This window comes from Homo sapiens, chromosome 14 (assembly GCF_000001405.40).
Source record: "Homo sapiens chromosome 14, GRCh38.p14 Primary Assembly".
NCBI lineage: Eukaryota > Metazoa > Chordata > Mammalia > Primates > Hominidae > Homo > Homo sapiens.
The window spans coordinates 34,432,537-34,457,638 of record NC_000014.9 but is presented as its reverse complement, the minus strand read 5'-3'; the positions used below and the strand labels follow the sequence as shown (position 1 = coordinate 34,457,638).

The 25,102-nt window shown below is 41.3% G+C and overlaps 1 protein-coding gene across 1 annotated transcript in view, besides 1 other annotated feature; it reads left to right on the top strand.

The window, feature by feature from the left end:
* The window catches only part of SPTSSA (serine palmitoyltransferase small subunit A), a 29,453-nt gene extending 4,602 nt beyond the window's left edge, over nt 1-24,851 (top strand). Inside the window, exon 2 of the mRNA NM_138288.4 lies at nt 22,335-24,851. Coding sequence (NP_612145.2) covers nt 22,335-22,438 — 104 coding nt within the window. The 3' untranslated portion in view covers nt 22,439-24,851. The remainder of the gene's footprint in view (nt 1-22,334) is intronic.
* Nucleotides 6,662-6,956: a silencer, noted in NCBI's record as "tiled region #3929; K562 Repressive non-DNase unmatched - State 16:ElonW". NCBI's record gives its function as "represses a minimal TATA promoter and a strong SV40 promoter by Sharpr-MPRA in K562 cells {active_cell/tissue: K562}" and the evidence as "EXISTENCE:reporter gene assay evidence [ECO:0000049][PMID:27701403]".
* Nucleotides 24,852-25,102: the final 251 nt, after the last annotated feature.

The window sequence follows — 25,102 nt, the reverse complement described above, 5'->3', positions numbered from 1 at the left end:
GGTTTGTCAAGGAATATTTGAACTTTTTCCATGTGCAGACATGTTTCTATCTTACAGAGAAATGGGACATGACACCTGCATTAAGACAAAAGGTAACAATAAAGAAGAATCTGATAAGTGCCAATTAGTATTACAGTATATACTACAAAAGGAGACCTACCATAGACTGAGAACCACTGACCTTATCTCAGGAGGAGACATTTTTAACATACCTTTCAAAAGTATCCTTTCCCTACTGGCATCCCAAGGTGGGAAAGAAAAGACCAGGTTTTGTAACCAAGATAGGCTTTTGTAACAGTGAGACACGCCCTGAAGTACCTCACTTGGATAACGTTGTAACCATTCCTGTTGAGAGTTGAGAAAATTAAAAATAGATTGTTAAAATAATTTGAATCAACTTTGGGAGGCTGAGGTGGCTGGATCACCTGAGGTCAAGAGTTCAAGGCCAGCTCGGCCAGCATGGTGAATTCTTGTCTCTACTAAAAATAAAAAATTAGTGGGGCATGGTGGCTGGCGCCTGTAGTCCCAGCTACATGGGAGGCTGAGGCAGGAGAATTGCTTGAACCTAAGAAGTGGAGGTTGCAGTGAGCCAAGATTGTGCCATTGTACTCCAGCCTGGGCAACAGAGCAAATGCTCCGTCTCAAAATAATAATAATAATAATAGTAATAATAATAATAATAATAATAATTTGAATCAGAAGTGTGCTATTTTAATCTTTTTTCTTTTCTTTTTTTTTTTGAGATGGAGTCTCGCTGTGTTGCCCAGGCTGGAGTGCAGTGGCGCGATCTTGGCTCGCTGCAACCTCTGCCTCCTGGATTCAAGCAATTGTTCCGCCTTGCCCTCCCGAGTAGCTGGGACTACAGGTGTGTGCCACCACGCCCGGCTAATTTTTATATTTTTTAGTAGAGACAAGATTTCACCATGTTGGCCAGGCTGGTCTTGAACTTCTGTCCTCAGGTGATCTGCCTGCCTCAGCCTCCCAAAGTGCTGGGATTACAGGCATGAGCTACCGCGCCTGGCCTAATCTTGTTTTATTCATTAAAAAATAAAGTCATATTAGTCTATAATCACTGGGCTATATTTGCCCATCTCTTTGCTGCTGATGATGTTTCCATGGCATGTTATTTTCAGCAAAATGTGGGCAGTTTTTTGGTTTATGTTAGGAATTAGATTCACCCTGAAAGACAGTTCATGTGTCTTGAAAACATTTTTTTCCCACTTTTAAACCACAGTGCTGGGCACACAAATAATGCTTAAAAAACAGTTGTTTATATATTGATTTGTTATTTTATTTTATTGATTTATTATTTTTTTGAGATAGGGTTTTGCACTTGTTGCCCAGGCTGGAGTGCAATGACGCGATCTCAGCTCACTGCAATCTCTGCCTCCAGGGTTCAAGTGATACTTCTGCCTCAGCCTCCCAAGTAGCTGGGATAACAGGCACCCACCACCACGCCTGGCTAATTTTTTGTTTTTTTAGTAGAGACGGGGTTTCACCATGTTAGCCGGATGGTCTCGATCTCCTGACCTCGTGATCCGCCTGCCTCCGCCTCCCAAAGTGCTGGGATTATAGGTGTGAGCCACCGCGCCCAGCCACACATTTTAAGCTGTATGTTATTTTCAGTAGCAACTAAATTATTTTCTTAGATTTTTGCTGTATCCTCAGATACTTACAACTTAGAATTAAAAAGGACTTTTTTTTTTTGAGATGGAGTCTTGTTCTGTTGCCCAGGCTGGAGTACACTGGCATGATCTCAGCTCACTGCAACCTCTGCCTCCTGGGTTCAAGCAATCCTCATTCCTCAGCCTCCTGAATAGCTAGGATTACAGTTGCACGCCACCATGCCCAGGTAATTTTTGTATTTTTAGTGGAGACGGGGTTTCACCATGTTGGCCAGGCTGTTCTTGAACTCCTGACCTCACGTGATCCTCTCCCCTCAGCTTCCCAAAGTGCTGGGATTACAGGTGTGAGCCACCGCGCCTGGCCTAAAAGGACTTTTTTTGCATCTCAATATACTAATTAAAGTATTTGGGAGTTTGGAAAATATGAATTTTAAGTTGTAAATAAAATAGATTATACATCCTTATGGTTGAAAACACAAAAGATACAAAAAGGTAGTTGGTGACACAGTCTTCCTTCCACCCCTGCCTCGGCCACCCTGGGACAACCAGTGTCAGCAGTTTCCTATGCATCTCTCCTGAGATATTCTGTGAATATATAAAAAATATACTCCTTTTTTTTTTCTTTTTTTGAGACAGTTTCGCTCTTTTCCTCAGGCTAGAGTGCAGTGGTGCGAACTTGGCTCCTTGCAACCTTTGCCTTCTGGTTGCAAGCGATTCTCTTGCATCAGCCTCCCCAGTAGCTGGGATTACAGGTGCCCGCCGCCATACCCTGTTGATTTTTTGTATTTTTAGTAGAGATGGGGTTTCACCATGTTAGCCAGGGTGGTCTCAAACTCCCAACCTCGTGATCCGCCCACCTCGGCCTCCCAAAATGCTGGGATTACAGGTGTGAGCCACCTAGCCCGGCTCCTATTTTTTTTTTTTCTCAAGATGGAGTCTTGATCTGTTACCTAGGCTGGAGTGCAGTGGCGCAATCTTGGGTCACTGTAGCCTCCGCCTCCTGGGTTCAAGCAATTCTCCTGCCTCAGCCTCACGAGTAGCTGGGATTACAGGTGCCTGCCACCACACCCGGCTGATTTTTGTATTTTTAGTAGAGAAGGGGATTTACTATGTTGGCCAGCCTGGTCTCGAACTCCTGACCTCAGGTGACCCACCCACCTTGGCCTCCCAAAGTTCTGGGATTACAGGCATGAGCCACTGCACCTGTCTGGGAAATGAACAATTGTAAGATTAGGAAGTAATGTGGGAGAAGTGAATACATTTATAAGGGAGGATGGGAAGGACAACCAGCAAACCACAAGAATTCTCAGACAGATCAAGCTCTGGGAGTACGGTGGAAGCAGACCACCTTTAACCGGATTCTCCTTAAACTATCCTAACCTCCTGGAAAGTTGTCTTGTTAACTCCAGGGCCCTACTGCTTTAGTTTGAAGAAAACTGCTCTAGCCTGTTTAACATGTTAGCCTTTATATTTGGCTGATTCAGTGAGAATGTTAGGATATCTCTTAACTGTACTCCTTAGAATATTAACTTTTTCTTTAGTAGTTTTTGGTTGGTAAAGGTTGAAAATAATGAAAACTGTGCTTAACAAGAACTAAATGGTCTATACCAGGACAGGCAGAGAAAGTCATGGTTGGGTTAATGGCAGTGGGAACAGACCACACATTGATATTCTGCAGCAGTGTTTCAGCATGTGATTCTAGTGATTTGTGAGTAGTGATCACTATAGGTCCTGTCTCCATTTTCTTAAAGACTTTGTGATTCCTCCAGACTATGAGTGTTGTAACATTTATGGCACATAGGAGCTAAGATAGATTTTTTTTTCCCCCTAAAACAGGGTCTTGCTCTGTTGCCCAGGCTGGAGTTCAGTGGCTGGCATGATCTTTAGTTCACTGTACCCTTGAACTCCTGGGCTTAAGTGATCTTCCCGCCTCAGCTTCCCAAATAGTGGGGACTACAGGCACACACCACCATGCCTGATTAATTTTTAAATTTTTAGTAGAGACAGGGTCTCACTAGGTTGCCTAGGTTGGTCTTGAACTCCTGGCCTCAAGCAGTCCTCCTGCCTCAGCTTTCCAAAGTGCTCGGATTACAGGTGTGAACCATCGGACCTGGCCTCTTTTTTTTTTTAAAAGAACAAACCCCAAATGCTCAAATTTAGTAATTTAAGCTATGTGTTCTAGAAGATGTACTTGATAGAGGATATATACTTTTTATAAATTGGAATGTTGAAAAAATAGTAGTTATGATCAATAGTTATGAGAAATAGAAGTTTTACTAATACAAGCGTTTTGGTCAGCATGTATTATATATGTTTCTGAAAAACTGCAAAATAATATGGTTTATAGGAAAATATTATTGAGTCAGACCACTTAAAATGTATGCAATTTAGTAAGCAAGCACTAACAAACACAATACTTGGCATCTTGAGGGAATAACTTGGATGTCCCAGACAGGCAGGCAGCTCAGCTTCACTGGAAGCTGCCCGAGGGGACATGAACAAAGCATGGACAAAGTTGAATGGAAATGTCAGCAGTAGGTGCTGATGTAATACAGACAGTGTGGGCTGCCATTGAGGCAGTGTAGGGCCAGTGCCACCTGCCACATTGGCTGAGAGCTGTGCTACCCTGGAGGTGCCTTTCTCTGAAGAGGGAGACTGGGTACAAATGCGAATTTCTGATTTTCTTAAAATAGAGTTAAAAGGACTTCTGCCTGTATAGCAGCTGAGTTGAGAGATGTTTCCTGCAGAAGGTGATACAGTTGACCCTTGATCCACTTGGGGGTTAGGAGTACTGCCCCCAGGCCCTCATCCTCACCCTGCAGGCAGTTGAAAATCTGTGTACAACTTTTGACTCCCCAGAAACTTTACTAATAGTCTACTTTTGACTGGAGCCTTATTGATAACATTAACAGTCGATTAACATATTTTGTATGTTATATGTATTATATACTGTATTCTTATAGTAACGTAAGCTAGAGGGAAGAAAATCATAAGGAGGAGGAGGAGGGGTTGGTCTTGCTGTTTCAGGGGTGGCAGAGGCAGAAGAAAATCCATGTATAAGTAGACCTGCACAGTTCAAACCCATGTTTTCAAGGGTCACCTAATTATTTTCCCACTAATCTGCTCCCCTAAATGATGAAATATCCCATATGAAGGAATATAGCTCCTGTACTGTACTAGTCGTATGTGAGTTATCTGATGTTACAGAAACATGTACTGTAGCAGAACAGATTATAATTCAGAGCAGACTGGGAAATTTTTCCCCATAACACTGGGACTTCAAATCTTCCTGAGGGTAATAGAAGCTCAAATCAATAAATGTGTGCCAGAGACACTATAACCTTAGTGTCTCTGGGATTAGAGCTACAAACCATTTCCAGGATTTTAGTCCACAGTGAAAAATTTTCAGTCCGTGATCATTACTCATTTCAGCAGCATGCTTTGTTGTTTGTTTAGTTTTAAAAGAGCTTGTCATCAAGTTGTAGTTTCTAAAAACAATTTTCATACTTAGGTTTGTATAATCAGCACACTATAGAAAGCTTAGAGAATGGATTTTGCTTGCTAAACACTAATTTCTGATGGTGATGTGCTATCCTTTAACATGACCCTTGAATATCAAATTGGTTAACATACAGAGGACTGTGACAGTATAATATTGTGACAGTATAATATTTTCCACTTGTTTCAATGTAAGAAAACTGGAAAAGTATCAAGAGATAGTTGATATATCTAGGAAAAATTAACTTTCTTTTTTTTTTTTTTTTTTTTGAGATTGAGTCTCACTCTGTTGCTCAGGCTGGAGTGCAGTGGCGCGATCTTGGCTCACTGCAACCTCCGCCTCCCGGGTTCAAATTCTCATGCCTTAGCCTCCCGAGTAGCTGGGAATACAGGTGTGCGTCACTGCGTCTGGCTAATTTTTGTATTTTTTTTGGTCTGACCTCAGGTGATATGCCCGCCCCGGCCTCCCAAAGTGCTGGCATGGGATTACAGGCGTGAGCCACCACGCTAGGCACTTTCTTTACATTTCTGTTGGTGATGATCTGCAGTTTTTTGAGGTCAAAGGAAAAGAAAACTACAGTAATAAGGAAGCTTTCCTGTTTGGGGCTTCATTCAGTAGCCTGCAGCTGCTTTCACTTAGGGCTTTGATTGCTTTTCAGTAAACAGCATATGATAATACTTCGTCAAATGCTTTGTTTTCTTTTTTCATTAAGATGATTTCTTAGATTTATCACAACTCTTGAGTATTTCTAAGGTTAAATAGCATTTTAGAATTGATTTTTTTTTTTTTTTTTTTTTGAAACAGAGTCTCGTTCTGTCGCCCAGGCAGGAGTGCAGTGGCGCGATCTCACTGCAAGCTCCGCCTCCCGAGTTCACGCCATTCTCCTGCCTCAGCCTCCGGAGTAGCTGGGACTACAGGCGCCCGCCACCGCGCCCGGCTAATTTTTTGTATTTTTAGTAGAGACGGGGTTTCACCGTGTTAGCCAGGACGGTCTCGATCTCCTGACCTCGTGATCTGCCCACCTTGGCCTCCCAAAGTGCTGGGATTACAGGTGTGAGCTACCGCGCCCAGCCTAGAATTGATTTTACAAAAGAAATTTGATTAATATAGGATTGGATTGCTTTAAATGTTGTTTTAGCTTTGCTTTTTAATGTGACTATATCATTTAGTCACATTTAATGTGATTTAATGTGACTTAAATAATTGAAATTATTTAGACTAGTGAAGATGTATAAGTCATACCCACTGGAACAAAGGTCTATGACCTTTTCCCGGTGAGAAACTACCTTTAAGTTTTCCAAAGTCTTGTGATTAGATTACTAAAGTGGGTGATGATAGTTTAGAGTTACTGATTGGAACAGGAAATGTTAGTTGCTATGGTTTTGTTTCTAATGTACTGTATTTATATGTAAAGCATTTCCTCTCTTTATTATAGGACTTTTTTTTTTTAAGTTGCTGATAATGGTCTTTTTATGGGCCAAAAAAAAAAAAAATCTTTATTTCTTTCCTAGCTTGCTGGAAACTTAGCTTATGTTTAGGAGATTCCTCTTAAAGAAAGAGAAAACAACATACAGATTCTATATATGGCTTCACATCTACTTGCTTTTATGTCCATGGAACCCATAAAATATTTATGTTATGCCCAGGTTATGAATAACCTCTGATTGTTCATTCAGCCCTTGAACAAACATTTATCTTCAGCACCTGCACAGTATCCTGTCACATTATTTGCTCAATTCTGGGATGGTTCATGAAGCAACTGCTTTACCAAGCAATGTACTATGGCTGGAAGCAAAGGCTCAGTAGGGGTGCTCTGTCAAACACTTAAAAGTCAGTGTTTAGAGACAAGTTATAAACACAAAACAGAACAGCCCATTTTTTAGTTTTTGAGGTTGTATTCTATTCTTGTTCTCTATTGCTTGAGTCATGGAACCCCCTCTAGAATATAGACCTGATTAATTTGTATACAGCTACTGGCACTTATGCAAACAACAAGAAGAGTTCGGTAAATAGAAAGATTACTCCATTACTTTGTATATTACCTTCCAATATATGTGTATTGCATAAAACGGATTAATTTTTACATTTTTTCTTTGTGTACATGTGAAACAGAAGATTGCTTTATGGACGATTGACAGGTGGTACTGAAACGTCCTCTTCAAACAAGTGGGATCCTAAAATGTTAATGAAAGAAAGGACCTCATTTTATGAAGAAACTCAGGTCCAGAGAGGTTGTGTCATCCCAGGATTACACTGTAAATTAATAACAAATTAGTAGCAGGATGAACTTGGGCAAACATAGACAGTCATGATGTTAAATGCTCAAACCCTCAAAGAACAGTTTTAATGAGGATTACATTGCCTTCTCTTGCAGAATAGGTTCGATTCTGAATTCTCACAACCCTGAAAGATAGGTGATGTGTGTCCACATTTTATTGATAAGGAGACTAGTGTTAGAGAGCTTTTGACACAAACAGGGATGGCAGAGTTATGACTCAAACCTGGGTCTCCTACAGTGCTGTACTGTTTCTCCTACCCATTTCTTAAAACTCACAGTGTGTCAAGGGTACTTTAAATTTTGAGAGGCTTGTTACAGAATGAGATGGATTGAGAAATCTATACCAGATAGCAAATTATAGCCGGTATACTCTGTTATGTATATGTTTAGCTTTGTGAGAGCACTTTGAAGTGTGACAATAAAACCAATGCCTAGGTCGGGTGTGGTGGCTCACGCCTATAATCCCAGCACTTTGGGAGACTGAGGTGGGCGGATCACCTGAGGCCAGGAGTTCGAGACCAGCCTGGCCAACATGGTGAAACCCCATCTCTACTAAAAATATAAAAATCAGCTGGGCGTGGTGGCACGTGCCTGTAATTCTAGCTACTCGGGAGACTGAGGCAGAAGAATCACTTGAACCTGGGAGGTGGAGGTTACAGTGAGCCAAGATCGTGCCATTGCACTCAGGCCTGGATACAGAGCAAGAAATTGTCTCAAAAAAAAAAAAAAAAAAGGGAGGCCGGGTGCAGTGGCTCACGCCTGTAATCCCAGCACTTTGGGAGGCCGAGGTGGGTGGATCACCAGGTCAGGTGATCTAGAAATTAAAATTTTTGTTTTTTTTCAAGACAGGGTATCACTCAGTCATCCAGGCTAGAGTGCAGTAGTGTTATTTCAACTCACAGCAACCTCTGCTTTCTGGGCTCAAGTGATATTCCTGCTTCATCCTCCCGAGTATCTGGGACTACAGGCATATATCACCATGCCTGGCTAATTGTTTGTTTTTGTAGAGACGGGGTTTCACTATTGTTGCCCAGGCTGGTCTTGAACTCTTAGTCTTGAACCAAGGTGATCCTCCCACCTTGGCCTCCCAAAATGCTGGGATTACAGGTGTGAACCACCACACCTGGCCTGCATTTTTTGATTATTAGAAGTTCCTCACTGTCCTGTTATGTGCTTGTTCACTTACTGTGTCCCTGTATAGCTAATTTATTATTTTTTAAAAAACTTTTTATCTTTTTAGATAGAGTCTCACTCTGTCATCCAGGCTGGAGTACAGCCGTGTGATCTCAGCTCACTGTAGCCTCAACCTCCCAGGCTCAAGTGATCCTCCTACCTCTGTCTCCAGAGTAGCTGGGACTACAGGTGCGTGCCACCATGCCCAGCTAATTTTTTAATTTTTTTGTAAAAAATGAGGTTTTGCCATGTTGCCCAGGCTGGTCTCATATTCTTGGTGTTAATGGTGGAGGGTATCCTGGTTCTTGGCATCTTGAACAAAGAATTGGTCAAAACGCACAAACAAAGCGAGGAAGGAATGAAGGGTTTTATTGAAAATGAAAGTACACTCCATAGTATGGAAGTGGGCCTGAACATAGGGGCTCAAAGGCCCGGTTACAGAATTTTGGCGAGTTTAAATATCCTCTAGAGGATTCCATTGGTTACTTGGGGTATGCCCTATGTAAATGGAGAGGATGAAGTAAAGTTACAAAGTCATTTACTTGGCCTACACCCTCTGGAGAGGATATTTCCTGTTATAGCTGAAGTGTGAATCGGCCTGATGTTCTCTGCCTCCAGACCCTATTTTCCTGCCTCATCTCCCCACTTTGAGATGTGATCCCCATAAATCTTTATGGGAGGCAGAGGGACCAATGTTCTTTTTCTGTAACTACTTCATGCTGCCTTGAGGCCTAGTCCCTACCTATTGGGGACCATGGAACTCTCGCCCTGCTCTGTCTAGTGAAGGTAGGGTAGCTTTTTTTTTTGAGATGGAGTTTTTGCTCTTGTTGCCCAGGCTGGAGTGCAGTGGCATCGTCTTGGCTCACTGCAACCTCCACCTCCCGAGTTCAAGCGATTCTCCTGCCTCAGCCTCCCAAGTAGCTGGGATTACAGGTTACCCACCACCATGCCCAGCTAATTTTTGTATTTTTAGTAGAGATGGGATTTCACCATGTTGGCCAGGCTGGTCTTGAACTCCTGACCTCAAGTGATCTGCCCACCTCAGCTTCCCAAAGTGCTGGGATTACATGCGTGAACCACCATGCCCTGCCAGCAGGGTAGCTTCTTGATGGCCAGGGGTGGTGTCTTCACCTGGAATTGGCTGGAACCTTTGTTGCATGATCATCTGAAGCTTGATGGTTTCTAGGCGAGAGGGAATGAATTTGGTTAAAAGATTTAATGGGAACTTCAGAGGTGGATACCTATGCTGTCAGAAATGTTTGTTACAGAGATTTGCAGAAGAAAAAACAAAACCTTGTCTGTTCTAGAACCCATGTGTTTCCCTAAAGTCTTAGCACAAACAACCCCGTTTTGGTTTGGTTTGGTCTGTTGGGGCCCAGTGCATGAACTTAGTCCAAAACAATGGGCTTCCAGAATTTTGTTGAAAAAATTCCCCCTTTTTGTTCAGGTTCTTACTTAGGTGAGAGTATGAGCAAAACTTAGGGCCATAGCACCACTCTCAGTTACCATCATTTTCGTTTCCAGTCTCAGCACATCATTTATAGGTTAAGTCCTCATGGTTGCACATTTCCTTCAGCTCTTGTCATTCCAGTTGAAGAGCAATCATATGACATTCTAGAGATGGCTGCATGGAAGCATTTAAAACCTTTGAGAGAATACAGCACTCCAGGGAGACGATTATTATGACTGTTGGGAGGATAATACCAAGAGTTCGGAGTATGCTCCTTACCCGGGTCACCATACCAAACCACCTAAAATTATGTAGATTAAAGAATGATCTGGATGAAGTGTCTGCTTGCTTGACCAAATGGTCTTTTTTTTTTTTTTTTTTTTTTTTTAAGAGATGGAGTCTCGCTCTGTCACCTAGACTGGAGTGCCATGGCACAATCTTGGCTCACTGAAACCTCCACCTCACAGATTTAAGCGATTCTCCTGCCTCAGCCTCCAGAGTAGCTGGGATTACAGGTGCCTGCCACCACGGCCGGCTAATTTTTGTATTTTTAGTAGAGACGCGGTTTCACTATGTTGGCCAGGCTGGTCTCGAACTCCTGACCTCAGGTAATCCACCTGCCTCGGCCTCTCAAAGTGCTGTGATTACAGGTGTGAGCCACTGCGCCCAGCTGAGTAAGTGGTCTTTTCATTAATCCCCTACAACTGAATTTTTATAACCTGCATTCTATGTATTTCTCGATAGGCCACAGGTGCCAGCAGCTGCACAGATACATGTCTGTTTAGCCAATTCTATTATTTAGCATAACTTTCACAAGAGAATTTAAAATCTGTTGTGTGATGATAGCCTTTAAAGTAGAATGTGCTAGAGAGCCTATCATGAGGGATACATTTCTAATCATTGCTTCTTTCACTTTAAACCATGGAAAAAGAGCCAAATAACTGATGCCCTTCTAGAAGAGGGAAGGCCTCCTGGCAATGTTCTCTTTAACCCATGATGTGGGTTAAGAGGAGTGAACCAGTGTTTTATTTTTGACTGATTATGAGGCAATGTATATACCATTAAGGTTTCTTACCTACATTGGGCCTTCATTTTTTATCTGTCAAAGTATAAGATTACCCAGGTAGAAGGCTGGCTGCAGACCCCTTCATAAATAAAAGTACACTCCATAAATCCACATAACAGACCCCTTTTCCACTTCTATTGTTTGTAGAGATGTAGGCAAGAAAAAAATATTCAAAGATAAGAGTTTCATGATAGTAAAGTCTTAACCTGTGAACTTGGAAAAGCTGTTCACATCAAGGATGCTATCTTCTTGGGAGAAATTTCCCTGGTTGGCTTTATCTCAAAGGTTCCAATGGATGCAGTTCCAGAAGTGTGCAGGGACCCCTCTCAGTTGTGAGACCATGAACCCAAAGCCCAAGGTCCCAAAGTTTTGTTGTAGTGTGGATGGGGAGGACAGTCTTTCTCTGATGTTCTCAGAAGATTCAAACGATAAAAAGCTTTTTTTACCTGGTGAAAATACACTGTAGTGTAGTAATCTACTGTTACAACATCAGCCCTCTTGCATGGGAAAGCTTTTATACAACCAGATATCAGTGGAATGAAATCGCTTTGTAAAATATTTAAATGGCCCACCAGGTGACCAAATGTACGTGAAGCTTTAATTGTCTTCCCAGTAATATGGGACCAAGCATTGGTTATAAACTATTTTAAACAATTTTAGTATCAACTGGTTTGATTTGGTTATTTCTGTGGTTTACAATGACAACATAATAAGCATAATTATAGTTGATAGCGTATACTTAGACATTAGAATTTTAGAAATCCCATACAATTTTGGAATATACATTAGTATTATTCACAAAAATGTAACCTAAAGAAGACTGAACATCGTTTTGGCAATCCCGTGTATGTAAACATGTCAAATAATCCTGTTTACCTCTTTTCTGGATGTTTTCAGGGACCCTCTGATACATCCAGAGAGCCAGGCATTAGGAAAGACAATTTTGAAACTGAAGTTTGATTTTGGAATTCCAGATTACCATATATTATACGTTTTGCCAAAATGATGACTCAGAAATTTTATTTTATTTTATTTATTTATTTTTTTGAGACAGAGTCTTGCTCTGTCGCCCAGGCTGGAGTGCAGTGGTGTGATCTCGGTTCACTGCAACATCTGCCACCCAGGTTTAAGCAATTCTCCTGCCTCAGCCTCCTGAGTAGCTGGGATTACAGGTGCATGCCACCACGCTCGGCTAGTTTTTGTATGTTTCATAGACAGGGTTTGGCCATGTTGGCCAGGCTGGTCTCCAACTCCTGACCTCAGGTGATCCACCTGCTTTGGCCTCCCAGAGTGTTGGGATTACAGGCATGAGCCCCTGTGCCTGGCCTAGAAATTTTAAAGAAGCAAAAACCTTTTTATTATAACCTTTTACCAAAAAGAAAAAAAAAGTTTTTTCTACTATTTTTAGACACCTTGCGTGTAAAACTGTTTTTAGTAGTCTTTTTAAAATTTTTTTTTTAGATGGAGCCTGGCTCTGTTGCCCAGGCTGGGGTGCAACGGTGTGATCTTGGCTTACTGCAACCTCTGCTCCCAGTTTGAGTGATTCTCATGCCTCAGCCTCCCAAGTAGCTGGGATTACAGGCGCCCACCACCACGCCTGGCTAACTTTTATAGTTTTAGCTGAGACGGGGTTTCACCATGTTGGCCAGGCTGGTCTCGAACTCCTGACCTCAGATTCGCCCTCCTTGTTCTCTCAAAGTGTTGGGATTACAGGCATGAGCCATCGTGCCTGACCTGTTTCTGGTAGTCTTAATTGCATGTTACAATGACGACTCTTAGCAATTTTTTTTTTTTTTGAGGCAGAGTCTTGCCCTGTGGCCCAGGCTGGAGTACAATGGTGCGATCTCGACTCACTGCAACCTCCACCTCCTGGGTTCAAACGATTTTCCTGCCTCAGCCTCCCAGGTAGCTGGGGTTACAGGTGCCTGCCACCACGCCCAGCTAATTTTTGTATTTTCAGTAGAGACAGGGTTTCACTATGTTGGCCAGGATGGTCTTGAACTGTTGACCTCGGGATCCACCCACGTCGGCCTCCCAAAGTGCTGGGATTACAGGTGTGAGCCACCGCGCCTGGCCTGACTCTTAGCAGTTTTAACTTTAATGTAAAACGTGGTAAGTTATATTCTGATAAGGTTTGACTGTTTCTAGCATAGCTAGGGGTGTGGCCAATGCTACATGTCCCTTGGTCTTACCTAGCTGGAAGGCAGGCAAGTTAAACAATTTTCAAAAGCCAAGGAAGCAGTTTATGACCTTAAAGCATTTAGCAAACCTAATATTTGAACATAATTTAGACCAAATGTTTACATTTTGAAGACATTTTTACTAATAATCTTTAAAACTGTCTTTATTTCCCAAAGATTGCTAAAGTCACATGAACTAAAAGGCATTACACTTTCTACTTTTCTGACAAAATATTTGATTTAGGCTCTTATTATTATTAAACCAATTAATTTAAAACTTTACAGAGGAGACTAACCATTTTGCACAGGGAGAAAGCGGGCCAGAGACCAGTAAGAAATTCTTACCCTTTTGCTGGCATGCCAGGTTGCTGGGTTCTCTATCCCTGAGCGGCCCTAGCAACCCTGTTTGACTGTATGCAACCAAACACATTACCATGAATTAAGAATATTCACAAATAGTTTGCAAATTTTGGAGAAATTAGGCAGAGAGAGAGAAAAATATGACTCAAATTTTATTTATGAAAGTATACTCAGCTGGGCACAGTGGCTCATATCTGTAATCCCAGCACTTTGAGAGGCCGAGGCAGGTGGATCCCCTGAGGTCAGGAGTTGGAGACTAGCCTGACCAACATGGTGAAACCCCATCTCTACTAAAAATACAAAAATTACCTGGGTGTGGTGGCGGGCACCTGTAATCCCAGCTACTTGGGGGGCTGAAGCAGGAGAATCGCTTGAACCTGGGAGGCAGAGGTTGCAGTGAGCTAAGACTGTGCCATTGCACTCCAGCTGGGTAATGAGAGGAAAACTCCATCTCAAAACACACACACACACACACACACACACACACACACACACACACACCCTCCCCTAGAAGCAGGAGAATCGCTTGAACCTGGGAGGCAGAGGTTGCAGTGAGCTAAGACTGTGCCATTGCACTCCAGCTGGGTAATGAGAGGAAAACTCCATCTCAAAACACACACACACACACACACACACACACACACACACACACTCACACCCTCCCCTAGAAGCAGGAGAATCGCTTGAACCTGGGAGGCAGAGGTTGCAGTGAGCTAAGACTGTGCCATTGCACTCCAGCTGGGTAATGAGAGGAAAACTCCATCTCAAAACACACACACACACACACACACACACACACACACACACACCCCCTAGAGGAAAACTCAATCTCAAAACACACACACACACACACACACACACACACACACACACCCCTAGAAGCAGGAGAATCGCTTGAACCTGGGAGGCAGAGGTTGCAGTGAGCTAAGACTGCCAATGCACTCCAGCTGGGTAATGAGAGGAAAACTCCATCTCAAAACACACACACAAACACACACACACCCCTAGAGGGAAACTCCATCTCACACACACACACACACACACACACACACCCCCCTAGACATGTATACACACACACAAAGGAAGATCCAATAGCTTGGAACCTTAGCCATGAGATAATAATACAAGCTTGGCGGTTTTACTTTGCCCCAAGAGATAATCCAAGGAAGGCTGTGAACCAAAATTTCGGGTAAAGCAGTCTCCATGACATTTTGAGTTTTAAAGGCCAAACCTCCCCAGACTCCAAGGAGCACTGGGGCCAAACAGTAGCAAAGGATCGTGTCACCTGTTAACCAGACCCTCTGCTTAGAACTGCAGCACAAAGACCTGCATACATGTAACACCATTCCACTTTCCCATTCAACAGTAAACTCCAGATTCCAAACAATGTTGGGGCCAAACAGCATTCATTGCAACTGCAAGAGTAAATTCTAAGGAGGGCCTAGTATTAGACCTCAGAACCTCTGCCAGGAGCATCCCCTTTGGGCAGGTTGAGGTCTGCAGGACCCCTGGAGCAACCTCCTGTGGGGTCCAATCTTGGAGTGCCAGATGTCTCTGACCTTAGGTGGGCACCGGTGCCACATGCAGATTTTCCCCTCCAGAGCCTACTATGAGCTTTAGAAGAATAGCCATAAACTGTAATGAGAACTGGATGCTGGGTGTGCCTTTTCCTTAGCCAGTTGAGTTTGATAAAGGAAAAATTTAGTGTAAGAAAAGAAGATTTAATTCCCCTGAAAAATGGGTGAGTTTGCTCCAAGCTGCGCCACATGTAGGGATCAGGGACCGTGTGCGGAAAAGATAAAGAGTCCACGGCAACTATAAACAGATGCTGAGGCCTCACGAGGTGGCTCACACCTGTAATGGCAGCACTTTGGGAGGCCGAGGCGGGGGGATTGCCTGAGGTCAGGAGTTTGAGACCAGCCTGGCCAACATGGTGAAGCCGCATCTCTACTAAAAATACAAAAATTAGCCGGGCATGGTGGCGGGCGCCTGTAATCCCACCTACTCTGGAGGCTGAGGCAGGAGAACTGCTTGAACCCGGGAGGCGGAGGTTGCAGTGAGCTGAGATTGTGCCACTGCACTCCAGCCTGGGTGACAGAGTAAGACTGTCTCCAAAAACAAAAAACAAAAAAACAGCCGCTGAAAGACTGAAAAAGAAAGAAAGGAAAAAAAAAAATGGAAAAAGACCCAGGTTTAAGCGAACTGGGCGGTGGTGGTTAGGCTTCTCCACATGGAAACCCCTTAGTTTCACTGGCCATGGCCAGAAACCTGCAGTTGCTTCCATGTTTAGGTGCTACCCACATGGGTCCTGGGTGGGAAAGGAAAAGAGAGAGAGGAGAGAGAGAGAGAGTCCCCTGTATGGAGCAGAAAAGAAAAGGAGAAAGGAGAAAAAAAAATCCCAAACTTTAGGTTTACCTCTTCTTCCTGGCTGGCTTGCCAAAATATGTTAACTGTGGAGGGTGTCCAGGTTCTTGGCGTTATGAACAAAGAATTGGTCAAAATGCATAAACAAAGCAAGGAAGGAATGAAGGGTTTTATTGAAAATGAAAGTACACTCCACAATTTAGGAGTAGGCTTGAGCATAGGGGCTCAAAGGCCCTGTTACAGAATATTTGAGAGTTTAAATACCCTCTAGAGGATTCCATTGGTTCCTTGGGGTATGCCGTATGTAGATGGAGAGGATGAAGTAAAGTTACAAAGTGTTTACTTGGCCTGCACCCTATGGGGAGGCTATTTCCTGTCATAACTGAAGTGTGAATCGGCCTTATGTTCCCTGCCTCCAGACCCTATTTTCCTGCCTCACTGGTCTCAAGTGATCCACCTGCTTTGAGTTCCCAAAGTGTTGGGATTACAGGCGTCAACTGCCTTGCCTGGCAACATTCTCTTTTTTTGGGAGACAGGGTCTCACTCTGTTACCCATGCTGGAGTGTGTATACAGTCTTGAACTCTAGTATCTTGTATTTTAACCAGGCAAAAAACTTGTTCAAGTTTTGATAAGTTATTGTTTCACTTAGAATTAAAAAATCATGCTTTTATAGGCATGTAAAAAATTTAAAAGCTTAACAATTTAATGTTCACAAAATTGAGCTTAAGTTTCAGATTCTTTTTTTACTTTTTTTTTTTTGTGAGATGGATTTTTGTTCTTGTTGCCCAGGCTTGAGTGCAGTGGCGCCATCTCGGCTCACCACACCCTCCGCCTCCCGGGTTCAAGCGATTCTCCTGCCTCAGCCTCCCAAGTAGCTGGGATTACAGGCATGCGCCACCACACCTGGCTAATTTTGTATTTTTAGTAGAGATGGGGTTTCACCATGTTGGCCAGGCTGGTCTCGATCTCCCGACCTCAGGTGATCCACCCGCCTCGGCCTCCCAAAGTGCTGGGATTATAGGTGTAAGCCACCGCGCCCAGCCAAGTTTCAGATTCTTGATTTATAGTGGAATAACCCGTTAGGCTAATATATGCGTGTTCCTTAAGTGATATATTCTCCATACTAAATTGAAGAATTAGCATCATAAAGACTATGTAACATACATATTCAGATAGCTGATTTATAGTAATCACTCCTACTGGAGTTGAAATTGAGCCAATGACCTTAAGATTATTACTATACCATTTTCATTTGTTTGGTATATGTATTTATAAGGTTTATATAAAAGCTGTGAAAAAGCAAAATTTGTTCTTAAGTCCAATATTGCCTGGAAACTGTTTTTGTCTTTTCTGTAGTCATTATCAAGTTTTTCAGCCACAATAATGTGAGGAATATGTAGAAAGCATCATAATGAATCTAGTCACATGAACATCTCTGTTCATCAAATGTCTATTTAGCATGTTTTTTTGTTAGATGCTGGAGATACAAAAATAATATTATTTCTCTGTTTAAGGAGTTGATAATTTGAGTAAGTACATCTACAAATAGGTAATGTCAGGTGGTAAGTGCTGTGTTACTCACTTTCAAACAAAGTATTAAAGGAGCTTTATGAGCATTAAGGAATAATTAGTTCTGCCAAGGGGTTGGGGTAAGAATGGGAAAAATTATGAATGCCAGGGAAGGCCTAAGGCCTAATACAAGAGGAGATAACTACTGAGCTCCTAGAATTATTAGGTTTTACTAGGGGGAGTAGGGCTTTTCATATGTAGGAAAGTATATAGTACAGTGGTTAAGAACACAGATACTTGGAGTTGGACTGATTTGTTTTGGAACTGGCCCCTGTAGTTTGTTGGGGAGGTTACTGGAACTTGATGAAGTGCTTAACTAGTACCAGACACACACTAGACATTCACAAAGTGAAAGCTGCTGCTGCCAGTCTTATTCTTATATTATCATTAAACAATAAGCAAAGCCAGAGCAGTATGGAAATATATAATGTTGTTTTCTGAGACTCTTGTAATATGACTGCAAGTAGGATATGTGTATATTAGGGAATGGTTTGGACTGTTGGGAAGTACAGTGGAAAAGTAGCATGGTAGTCGTGGTTGGTCTTCACCTAGGTCTCCTTTCTTTTTTTTATTTTAAGTTAATTTTATTTTTTTTCTTGGTAGAGACATTGTCTTACTATGTTGCCCAGACTAGTCTCAAACTCCTGAGTTCAAGTAATCCTCCCACCTCGGCCTCCCAAAGTGCTGGAATTACAGGCATGAGCCACTGCACCTAGCTTAAGTCCCCTTTAATGGCTGATGTACCCCCCAAGCCTCCGTGAGTGTTGGCTGCTAATGACCTATAGCGCCCCCTTTCTCTAGAGTATTGTCCTCTGCCAAGCAGCCTTCTTGGTTAGGTGGATTTTCCGTATCCCACCCTATAACCAATGATTGACAGATAAGAAGATACAAAAGGTCAGGCCCTTTGTGTCAAAGCAATGCCAACTATATGGTATAATTTATGCTCCAGAGTGCCCTGTGGGAGCTGAGACTCTGTCCCTACTTAGCTTATTTCCCCTGCTCTATTCTACTGTACTCACTCCCCTTCAAATAAAATTCCCTCAATAAATAGCTTGCACAAGAATCCCTGTCTCAATCCTTCAGTCCCTATCTACTTCTGTGGATCCTAAGATTTGGGGCTAGATCGGAAAGTCCTTGAATACTTGCCTTAGAATCCTATAAGTGCTGTCTTATAGACATTGGAAACCTAATGCATTTTAAAAGGATCATTCTAGTAAAGAGGGACATGGAAAGTGGCTAGAAGCCTACGATGGGAACTTTCTATCATCTAAGTAAAGGATGATAAATGCCTTAATCATTTATCATTGATTAAGGTTGGGGAGGTGAGATACAAGAGTCATTTGTAGGGATTGGGGAAGAACTGAGAAGTCATAGGTAATTTGAATGTGGGGAGAAGGAATAAAAAACCTTCTAGACTGGATGACTTGGCAAATAGTTGTGTTAATCGGCAAAATTGGACTCGTAGGAAGAGGTAGTTTTGGAGAAGGTTAATGAGTTCAGTTTGAATTTAAGTTACCTTGTTGAATGTCATAGATGGAAATGTACCGTAAGTAGGTAGAAATATCTGTCTGCAGTATGGAAGGTGAGGTCAGGTTGACAACATGAAGGTACAGAATGGACATCCCTAATCTGAAAATGAAAAGTCTGAAATGCTCGAAAATCCAAAACTTTTGAGCAACAACATGACAGTCAAAGGAAATGCCCGTTGGAGCATTTTTGATACTGGATTAGGTGTGCTCACCGGGTTAAGTATAATGCAAATATTCTAAATTTAAAAAAAAAATCTGAAATTTGAAATACTTCTCAACTCAAGCATTTAGGATGAGGGATACTCAACCTGTAGTTGTTTAAGTTATGAGGGAATATGGGGCCCAAGACAAAACGATGGGAATTCCATTTTATCATCTGGAACGTTTTCAGCCGCAAGTAACAAAATTGAGCAAGCTACTTTAAGAGTAAAGGGGATTGGCCAGCTCGGCGTGGTGGCTCACACCTGTAATCTCAGCACTTTGGGGGGCTGAGGTGGGAGGATTGCTTGTCCCCAGGAGTTCAAGACCAGCCTGAGCAACATAGGGAGACCCCATCTCTACAAAAATAATAAAGAAATCAGCTGGGCGTGGTAGTGCGTGTTTGTTGTCCCAGCTACTTGGAAGGCTGTGGTGGGAGGATTGCCTGAGCCTGGGAGGTCGAGGCTGTGGTGAACTATGATTGTGTAACTGCAGTCTAGCCTGGACAACAGAGTGAGACCTTGACTCAAAAAAAGTAAAGGGGATTTATTAGTTTAGTATGTAAAAATCCAGTGGTAGGGTGGGATTCAGGGTTTTTTGATGAGGATTCTGACTCCATTTTTCTGTGATTATTTTTGTCCTGCCACCTTCTTGAGTCAGCTTTGTTCTGAATCTTGCTTTCCTCATGGAGGTAAAGTGACTCCAGTGATTGCAAGATTCCATCAGCAAGCTGCATATTGTAGGAGAGAGCATCTATGTTCCTGAATTCCTGGCTGAAGTCCTAAGCTTTGAGCTGATTAATCAGTTTTGATGTAGGGCATTGTTACCAAGCAAAAGAGATCCCTCTAATTGGTTAAGACCAGTCAGGGGTTATCCATGAAGATGGGTTAGTCTAACCAAAAGGGCATGGCTGCTATACTAGGAGGAGAGTGGATGTTTGCAAGGAAAGCACAAAGTTCACTCTTATCTATCATCCATCATAAAGGAAAGAGCCAGTGAAAAACAGGGAAATGGTAAGAGAGATTAAAAGAGGGCCTTAGAAAATACCTGAGCCCAGAGTAGAGTTTTAAAGAGTGGAAAGGATTGTTTTGTTTTGTTTTCTGTTTGTTTTTTGAGACAGGGTCTGGCTCTGTTGCTCAGGCTGGAGTGCAGTGGTGCCCTTCCGGCTCACATCAGCCTCCAGAGTAGCTGGCACTACAGGCATAAATGGAAAGGGTTTTGAAGAAGAAGGACTAAAACAGTGTCAATTCAAACAGCCTTTGGATTTGGTGGAGACCACCAGTGATCTTAGAACAATGCCTACAGTCTGGAGGAGTAAGAATCAGATGGTGTGTTGGTGATGAACAAATATATGCCAATGATATAGAAGCAGCAAATGTATATATTTTTCTTTCTCTCTTTTTTTTTTTTTAAAGAAATTAGTAAATAGAAGGCGGCAGTTTAAGGAATAACTGGATTAAGGGCGGTTAAAAAGTAAATTGTAAAAAAAAGATTGTGAAAGACTTTCTGCTCTTGTTTGCTGGATGAAGAGAATGAGTTTATGGCTTGAGTCAGGCAGTCTTGGTTTGACCTCTGGCTCTAAAGACAGCTTCCTGTATGGCCCTGAACAAGCTACTCAGTTTTCTCAGCTTCTGATTAGTGATGAACATAATAAACATTTCATAGGAAAGCTATAAGGGTTAAGTAAGATAATGTAATTGTGGAAGAGATTTGTCAACTAACCTGTTATACAAATATTAGTTGATAGTAAGCACATTGTTTATTTAAACCCTATCTTCTCATAAAAGAATGTAAGTTATTTTAAAAATAATAGTATGTATAGCTGAAAGGTATGTAGAGTTGAGAAAGGGGAAAGGCAAGTGAAAGAGGAGAGAGAGAGAAGAATGAGAATATGAATGAATTAATAAAGCATGACTCCAGTTCAAAAACAGTTATTCCTCTTAGCATCCTATGTAACTGTGCAAAGCCAAAAGCCCTTAGATTTGACATAATTTTTGCTAGCAGTATTTTGTGTGGCCCCAGAGAGAGGCCTCTTGTTGACTTCCATATATACAGTTTCAGTTCCTTTTGTAATAAAAAGAAAGGAACATGGTACAGAAAGGTTATTGTTTAGGTTATCAAGATTACCTTTATTTGAAGTTGTTGCAAATAGTAGCAATAGTGATAATAATGTTTAATAGTGATAATAGCAGTAGCAGTTGCTGTCATCCCTAAGCTAGTGTATGATTGATTTTAGCTTTGTCTGACTCTAAAAATACTTTTAGCCACATTCTAGTCTAATTCTAAAATTCTTTGATCATACATTCTTATTAGTTAAGTTGGTAGATCTTTTATAGTAATTAAATAGAATTTTATTCCTGTATATTTATTTCTTAGGTAGAACAGTATCACATTCTATGCTTCATTTTAAGCAGTCCTGCCGGGCGCAGTGGCTCACGCCTGTAATCCCAGCACTTTGGGAGGCTGAGATGGGTGGATCTCCTGAGGTCAGGAGTTCGAGACCAGCCTGGCCAACATGGTGAAACCCTGTCTCTACTAAAAATACAAAAATTAGCTGGGTGTCATGGCGGGCACCTGTAATCCCAGCTACTCAGGAGGCTAAGACAGGAGAATCACTTGAACCCAGAAGGCAGAGGTTGCAGTGAGCCGAGATCGTGCCATTACACTCCAGCCTTGGGTAACAAGAGCAAAACTCTGTCTCAAAAAAAAAAAAAAAAAAAAAAGAGAAACAAACAAACAAAAACATTTGAAGCAGTCTGATATTTTCAACTACACAGGGAGAATAACAGTACTTACTTTATATGGTGATAGTAAAGATAGAATGAGCTAAAAACAAAATAAAACAAAACCAGCTTAGAGTGGTGCCAGGCATGGTTGTTAGTGGCTAGTATTATCATTCTTGTTGTTTTTTTTATCAGTGCTTGATATAAATGAGAAAGCACTAAGTGAATGGGTACTTCAGCATAAAAGAGTTGTTGAAGACATGTGGAGATTTAGTTTTGAATAAATTAATAATAATAAGTTTCCTTAACTACAACTCAGATTCCATGCTGGTTTCCATTGTGGGGATGGCACTATACACAGGATACGTCTTCATGCCCCAGCACATCATGGCGATATTGCACTACTTTGAAATCGTACAATGACCAAGATGCGACCAGGATCAGAGGTTCCTTGGGGAAGACCCACCCTACGAAGTTGGAATGAGACCATCAGATGTGATAAGAAACTCTTCTAGATGTCAACATAACCAACCTTATAAAGACTAAAATTCATGAGTAGAACAGGAAAATCATCCTGACTCATGTGTTGTGTTCTTTATTTTTAATTTTCAAAGAGGCTCTTGTATAGCAGTTTTTGTCTATTTTAACATTGTAGTCATTTGTACTTTGATATCAGTATTTTCTTAACCTTTGTGACTGTTTCAATATTACCCCCGTGAAAGCTTTTCTTAATGTAACTTTGAGTACATTTTAATTGCCTTCTATTTTTAAAACTCAAAATCATTAGTTGGGCTTTACTGTTCTTGCTATTGTATGGCATATACATCTGCCTGGATATATTTCTACTCTTGACCAAAGTTTTGTAAAGAACAATATAAGATTTCGGGTAGGGGTATGGGGAGGGAAGATATTTTATTGAGAACTACTTAACAAAAGATTTATCTGTAAGCTTGAACTCAGGAGTACAGTTTTAGCTATCTAGACTCTAACAGCTTTTGCTTTAAAATTATTAAAGTGTTTCTTAATGAAAAAGAAAAGATCTTGCTAAAGTTAAAATAAGGAACATTTCACCTTTTAAATATTTAATTCTTATGTGGACTTATTTCCAGAAAACTTTGGTGATAATTCTTGAGACAAAAGGTGGTTAAGTAGCATTATTATGTAATGCTTATATACCATAGAGTTTTTAATAGAAGAGAAATCCATTTCCTCCGAGGGTCACTATTAACAATGTACTTCCTTAAATTTAGTTTAATGATTGTAATGGGTGCTGCATTTGCACATTGCATTAAGTTATGATGAGACGAATTGTTGTTAAAAATTATAGCAAAAAGAAATGTAAACTTGGTTAAAATCCTTTCACTCTTTGTATTGTTTTTTTTAAGGTTTTTATTCCTTAAATGTAAAATGACTACCTAATTTTTTGATGTAAATACATTAAATTCAAAGAGAAAAAAAATCAGCTGATGTAGCAGTATATCTTTTCCTTGATGGTTAAATATTGATCTAGTATTTATATTGCTGAATTATTTTCTGTGGAGGACCAGATAAGCAGTAAGTATGTCTTATCCTATATGTTTTGCAACATAAAAATATTGCTAATTGAAAAGAATTAGGCAATTATGTGTGTTGCTGGGTTGTTTTTTTGTTTTTTTTTTTTTGAGACGGAGTCTTGCCCTGTCGCCCAGGATGGAGTGCAACAGCATGATCTCGGTTCACTGCAACCTCCATCTCCTGGGATCAAGTGATTCTCCTGCCTCAGCCTCCTGAATAGCTGGGATTACAGGCACCTGCCACCATGCCTGGCTAATTTTTTGTATCTGTAGTAGAGACGGGGTTTCACTGTGTTGGCCAGGATGGTCTCAAACTCCTGACCTCCTGATCCACCTGCCTCGGCCTCCCAAAGTGCTGGGTTTACAGGCGTGAGCCACCGCGCCCGGCCAAAATTGAGGTATTTTTTGCCCTACGTTTTAAGGACTAGACTTTTGAAGTATTTTATAGTCTAGAGGTCTCAAGTAATATATATGTGTTTAATATTTTTAGAGCCAATTGATACCACAATTAGATAGGAGTAGTGAGAATAATATGGAATTACTTGGTTTGAAGTAGTTAAAAATTGGATATGGTTATATCTGAGCTGTAGTCATATTATCTCAAGAAAAATAATACGAGGATTTAACATAAGATTTGTTCTATTAATGCCCAAATTTGGCTTTCCTCTACTATCCCCCATAGAGAACCACTAACAAGTGGATGTCTAATATTCCTCTGGTGAGTTGAAGGCAGGAGAAGTTGAGAATCATTAGTTTCAATGAGTATCCAGGTGACCTATCCTGGCCCTCTACTCAGAAACCGGCAATTTGTCTTCACTCTGAGATTCATTAAATTGCTGTTGTATAACTGATGGTTATTATGAACACTGACCTGTGAGACATATGGAAGATAAAGTTTGGTCTTACAGGAAATCTTGAGGAGAGTCAAAAGAGAAATGGGAGATGTCTCTTGAGAGGTGATCAGAGAAGTTTATGCTCACTGTCTGATGCAAATGTCTGGTCTATTTGTTAGTAAATAACAGGGAAATCATTTTCACTTTTTGTTAAAAATAAGGTATTTACAAGCATACCTTGTAGTTATTGTGGGTTCAGTTTCAGACCACTGCAATAAAGTGAATATCTCAATAAAGTGAGTCACATGAAGTTTTTTGGTTTTCCCCTGCATATAAAAGTTACATTTACACCATCCTGTAGTCTATTAAGTGTGCAGTAGCATTATGGCTAAAAAAAAAAAACACCCAATATACCTATCTTAATTAAAGAATTATTTATTGCTGAAAAAAGCTAATGATTATTTGAGCCTTCAACAAGTCATAATTTTTTGTTGGTGGAGGGTCTTGCCTTGATGTTGATGGCTGCTGACTGATCTGGGTCATGGTTGCGGAAGGTTGGGGTGGCTATGGCAATTTTTAAAAATAAGACAACAATAAAGTTTGCTGCATTGATCAACTCTTCATTCATGAAAGATTTCTCTGTAGCATGTAAGCTATTTGATAGCCTTTTACCCACAATGGAACTTCCTCCAAAATTGGAA